Source organism: Homo sapiens, chromosome 13 (assembly GCF_000001405.40).
Source record: "Homo sapiens chromosome 13, GRCh38.p14 Primary Assembly".
NCBI classification, from domain to species: domain Eukaryota; kingdom Metazoa; phylum Chordata; class Mammalia; order Primates; family Hominidae; genus Homo; species Homo sapiens.
The window spans coordinates 82,898,872-82,905,065 of NC_000013.11; the positions used below are offsets into that span (position 1 = coordinate 82,898,872).

At 34.1% G+C, this 6,194-nt stretch overlaps 2 annotated features.

Annotated features, from left to right (window-relative positions):
• Nucleotides 782-1,427: an enhancer, noted in NCBI's record as "OCT4-NANOG hESC enhancer chr13:83473788-83474433 (GRCh37/hg19 assembly coordinates)". NCBI's record gives its function as "activates a minimal SCP1, AML or CMV promoter by ChIP-STARR-seq in naive H9 embryonic stem cells {active_cell/tissue: H9 hESC(naive)}" and the evidence as "EXISTENCE:reporter gene assay evidence [ECO:0000049][PMID:30033119]".
• Nucleotides 1,428-2,072: an enhancer, noted in NCBI's record as "OCT4-NANOG hESC enhancer chr13:83474434-83475078 (GRCh37/hg19 assembly coordinates)". NCBI's record gives its function as "activates a minimal SCP1, AML or CMV promoter by ChIP-STARR-seq in primed H9 embryonic stem cells {active_cell/tissue: H9 hESC(primed)}" and the evidence as "EXISTENCE:reporter gene assay evidence [ECO:0000049][PMID:30033119]".

Here is a 6,194-nt window from a genome sequence, read left to right on the forward strand (position 1 = left end):
CAGTCTGTTATTTTTCAGTTTTTACTTCCTCCATTTCTATGGAGACAGGGGACAGCAGGAGAAATGGACTCTCTCCTCAATATAAAAGTCAATTACAGCCAACTTTAGAAAACAGTTTGGTAGTTCCTCAAAAAGGTAAAAGCAAAACTAATATATGACCCAAGTATAATTATGTATCAAAGAGAAATGAAAACTCATAAGTATGTATCTAAGAGAAATGAAAACATGTCCACACAGGGACATACATGTTCATAGCAGCTTTATTCATAATAGCCAAAAACTAGAATTGATCTAAATGCCCATCAACTGGTCGATGGATGGACACAGCATGGATGCTGATAGAAAGGCATACTATTTAACAATAAAAAGGAACAAACTGCTGCACATGCTACTTCATGGATAAATGTCATAAACATGTTAAATTAAAGAAGCCAGATGCCTAGACAAAGTACTGTATGGTTCATTTACATAAGACATTCAAAAGAGGAAAATTTATAGAAACAGAAAATAGATTAGTAGGTTACTAGGGCTGGGGGTGAGATTGGGGATTTATTGGTATGTGAGATCTTAATGGGGGAATAAGATTGCTTAAAAATCAGTTTATGTTAACGGTCCCACCACTCATTGTAGTTACTAAAATTCACTTGAAATGAGTTCATTGAAATGGGTGAATTTTATCATATGTGAAATATTTCTGAATAAAACTTTAATGAAAAAGTAAGTGGAATATAAAATAATGAAATAGCTATAGTAATCAAAATTAATTGGTTAATCAAAGATCTTAATAGAATATTGAAGGTTGAAAACTTTTGAAAAGGAAAATTTTGTACTTTGAAGTATAGCAGGACAAGCCTCAGACAAAACCCCTCAGACACCAAGTTAAAGAAGGAAGGGCTTTATTCGGCCAAGAGCTTTGGCAAGACTCACGTCTCCAACAACCAAGCTCTCCAAGTGAGCAATTCCTGTCCCTTTTAAGGGCTCACAACTCTAAGGGGATCCATGTGAGAGGGTCGTGATAGATTGAGCAAGCAGGGGGTATGTGACTGGGGGCTGCATGCACCGGTAATCAGAACAGAACAGAACAGAATAGGACAGGGATCTTCACAGTGCTTTTCTTATGCAAATAACCGATTAGGTAAGGGGTCGATCTTTAACTACTAGGCCCAGGGTGTGGTGGCAGACTGTCTGCTTGTGGATTTCATTTCTGCCTTTTAGTTTTTACTTCTTCTTTCTTTGGAGGCAGAAATTGGGCATAAGACAATAAGAGGGGTGGTCTCCTCCCTTAGAAGTAGGTCCGTTTGGACTTACCTATGTCTATTTTCTGATGAGCAAAATGTGTAATGCTAGAAAGTATGTGACCTTCTGAATGAGTATCGGAGTTAATCTAAAGTACATCCTACTCACCTGAAGGAATATATAAGAATTGCTAAGCCTATTGGGAAATTAAATAGCCTCATATAGTTTTCATCTTTTTTTTGTTCTCTTTTCATGCCAAATCTCTAATGGCAGTGCTAAAGAGCAATGAAATGGCCAAAGGCAGGAAGCCAGAGAGAAAAGGGAGAGAATGAAGAGCCAAATAAGCAACCTTTAAATAACTAAGAGTTGATTGATTGATTCCACCCATTTAGAAAATTATCTTAATGCCTCTGTTTGCTAAAATTTCCTGGTGGTCTTGCCAGATACTCTAAAATAGCTGTGATTTAAAACAATATGAGTTGTGTGTAAGTGCAGAAGATAGGGAGTCAGATAATTCTGATTTAAATGAAGCTGCATGAGTTCTGATCTTTGCCACCTTTCCCTGCTTTAGGTCCAATTCATATGTAAATATAGACTTAATGAACTCACACTTGTAACACACACAGTACCCAGTGCATTCTATTTTCTCAGTAAACAATAGTAGAATAAAGATAATTTTATATATAGTGGCAGTCCTCATTAATATTTAAGAAGACCATTTACAAGGATGTAGGAGTATGCCACATATACTGAAGGTCGATATTATGATAGAAAAGCAATTAATATCATTCATTCAAGAAACTATTCAATTTGGTGGCAGGCTCAGCAATTTGATTGGCCAATATGACTGATCTTTGCAGCCGGCATAATTGAATATGTTATTCTGTAAGACCAGGTATTTCATAATTTTCTTCTGTATAAATAATAAGATATATGAAAGAACACAGAATTAATAAATTAATGAATACAGCTAATAATAAAACAATAAACCCCTTCAGTAGAGAAAAGAAAGTCTAAATATACCTTTAGAATTGATTCTTCCTGTCTTACTAATCAAAGTTATTCATTAAGCAACTGTTTATCTTTCAAAGAGTCATTAGGCATCAGGCATAAGGTATACAAATGGATATGTAAATGAATTGGTAGAAAATACGATGTTTTCTTTGAAAAAGAAGTGTATAGGAAGCAAGGTGGGAGTAGAGGGGGAGTACAAAGTAACCTTAAGTGGATAAGCCAAACCTCCCTCCATGATGGGGGTCGTCAAGTCTTTTTTTCTGATAAAGGCCAGTTAGGAAATAATTCAAGCTTTACAGGCTGGAGAATATCTGTCAGAACTACTCAACTTTGCTTTTGTAGCTGTAGGGTAAGAAAGATGTATTTTCCTTACCCACTCTAGGCTTATGGCTGAGGCCCCTATAACAAGGAACAGCTTAACAAAGTAAAGACACACAAATGTACTTAATATAAGTTGTATGTGACATGGAAGCCTTCATAAGGAAAAGAAGACCCAAAGAAATAGTTAAACCTATGTGTTTTTTATGGTAGGTTTGATGAAGACTGGATAGATGTGGAGAAATATGATAGGCCCTTTGGCCTGTCATATTTCTGATAATAAATTGGAAAACTTAGTGAGGTCTGTTCAGATTCTTTTCTGTGACCTTTTGTCTTTGGGCATAAGGATATAAGGACGCTCCTTTTATCTTGCAATTGGGAAGGTACTTTTCATGTAAGGGTCTCCTGACCTGCTTTTGGGAATGTCAGAACACTCTTCAATTGTTCTACGGCCTGATACAGGGCATAGGTAGAGAAGAAAGGTGAGAGTTATCTTTCTGCCTCCGTGATTTTGCTGAAATTTCATCAGCATAAAATATTAAATATGCCACAGTGCTACATTTTGGGGTAACATGTTCTGAACTCCATTATAGAGATAACATAACCATAGGCAGAATGCTTTTTAAAAAAAAATATAAGAGCATTCTAATAATACAGTGTTATTTAAAAAAAAAAAAGTCTGATTTGTCCTAAGTGCCATATTTGTTCAGACCCTGCTCTAGGGAAAGCTACTTTAAGGGTAAACTAAATGTGTGATAGATAATTACAGTTAAAAAAATGATATGCTAAATAGTTTAAACTTGGCTCACATGTAAATATGTTCAAAGTTAATGAAGACATTTAAATTTAAGTACAAAAGAAAATATTTAGATTGAATTTCAGAAAGGCCACTCTTAATTTGGTGTCAGTTATCTATTGAAAATGTCAGTAAAAATATAGTTCAACAGAATTATAAAAGTCTGTGCATTTATGTTTAGAAACTCATAACTTTTACATTTAGCTTTCCTAATATTGTCAGTTGCTTCAATCCAATGAATAAATAATTTTGACTTTTACCTAGTAAAATCTTACAGTTTTTTTTGCTGTTATTTTTATTAGCCTTTTTCTCCAGGCTCAGTGAGCTGCAAATCTTCCCATCACACAGGTATTATCAGAGGTTTACCATGAAATTAATAATTATTGAAAGTACAAAAATTCTGATTCAGAATTTTAGAGGTTGAGTTGCACATAGTAATCTATGGTATTCAAAATTCTCTTGGACATTCCAAGTTTAAAAATACCTGAAGTTCAAGTATGGTGATTGTTTTTATTAAAATAAAAATTTCTGGATTTTTAAAAAGATTCTAGTTTTTAGAAGTTTCTAGATTTTTTTTAAACTAGTTTTCAAGGCAATTATTGACCCATGCACCTAATTAAACTCACTGTTGTAGTTAGGCAATATCTAATAAAGATTTAATCAGTATGTCTCAATTTATAAACAAAATACCATAATGTTCAATGAACATGTCATGATGAATCAAATAAATTTTTATACCAGATAACAGCCTTTTAACAGATAAAACTAAAACGAATTATGTGTCTCAATTTCTGTTTCCATCTAGGCCAGAACGAAGAACACCTTTACTCCATTCTGTAGTGGAAAGATGATAGCCTTGTCTTACTTTAGGTGATAATAAAGTACTCTAATTCAATATTACATGCTAATTATTCTGGAGTGATAATGAGCCACACCTTGCAAATTAGACATCATTGTAAGAGGGAAATTCCCCAGAGGAAGATTAAGTACTCAGAATAGTGTTTTCCTCCAAAAATATAATGAAAGCCACAAAAGTAAGCTTAAGTTTTCTGGAAGCCACATTTAAAAATTAGTAGGAAAAACAGAATATAATCAATATAAAATTAATAATGGGATATCCTCTTTCTTCTCATTCTAAATCCACCCTGGATTTAGAAGAGTTGGCATGAAAAAGTAGTAAAATATCTCATTAATCATATATTGATTATATGTTGAAATAACATTTTGAATGTATTGGGGCAAATAAAATACATTATTAAAATGTATATTCTTTTAACCATTAATACTTGTACTAGCTATATTGCATGTGTTAAATATTCACATGTGGTTACTGACTATTACATTGAACAACACAGGGTTAAAGCCCTACTGCACATCTATGAGGTAAATTAACTTGAGCAACTTGCACATCTATGTGTATGTCAAAGACTCATGTTCTTTTCTCTAAACTTGGCATAAAGATAGTAACTACTTCACTTAGTGTATATAAAGATAAATTATAATCTATATAAAATGTTTGCACTAAAAATGTTAGCTAATATTATAATTATTCTTGCTGATAAGGTCCAATTTACATACTATGATTCATACACAGAAGAAATAAAACTTTCATGACATTTTATGTGACCTTTACTTGATGTAATAGTTAATTCATGTGTCAACTCACCTGGGCTATGGTGCCCAATTGGTGATCAAATACCAGTTTAGATGTTGCCATGAAGGTGTTTTTTAGGTGTGATTAACCTTTAAATCAGTAGGCTTTGAGGAAAGCAGAATACCCTCTATAAATGGGTGGGTCTCATTCAATCAGTTGAAGGCCTTAATTAGGAGAAAAGCTTGAGGTTGCCTAAAATATAACTAATTCTGCTTCCAGAGTGAGTTCAGATTCAAGACCGCAACATTAATTCTTGCTGGAGTTTTCACAACACACACACACACACATTTCTATTAGTTCCATTTCTCTGGAGAACCTTGGCTAATACACTTTCCTTAATTCCCTTATCCCCAAAGTAATAACAGAGTATGCACTCAGGAGAGCATGCCATTATTAAATCAGGTTAACATGCTGTTTTCATTTAAACGGTCACTTTTTGTTGTATAATCATATACTTTATTTTCCAAACTGAGATATTTTTGAGATGAAAGTGTGCAATATTTACAATTACAATAAATTATATATAAACAGAGGCTAGCCCAAGAAACCCAAGAGTAACTGTTACTTTACCTTTAAGTAAGCTTAGCATTTTAAGTAGATATTTAGTCTTTCAATTTTGTTCTTATTTCCATTTTTTTCCCATCCCTTCATTCTCTCCAAGTTTGCAGGGATAGCTATCACTCTATGCCACGGTGATGGGTTTCTGGAAAATGTGCTGCCCTCATGTTGAGATGTTTCATTTACTCAACTCAGAACTTTCACCACTATTCTTGATGACTGCAATGCTGTGGGGGCTACAGGTGGTAAAATTGATGACCACTGCACTGAGCATGAACAATGCATGACAAAGGTTCTTGTGTGGGATGTCCATCCCCTGCTTATGGGATTAGTTCTACTATGTCAGCTCAATTTGTGGTATAAAAGCAAAAATTATACCTGAAAAAATTAAACAGGAAAGGAAGATTTATTCAAGCCTATTGTAGCATGGACAAAAGACTGTAACTCATTCTGAACTCAGCTCCACTGAAACAAAGGCAAAAAAGTTTATTAGTACTGGGGTGAGGTACTGGAAAAGTACTAGAGGATGTTGGGGGAAGGTTGATCCACAGGATATGTCAAGTACATTGATATGGCTTGGTTCTGTGTTCCCTCCCAAATCTCACCTCTAATTGTAAT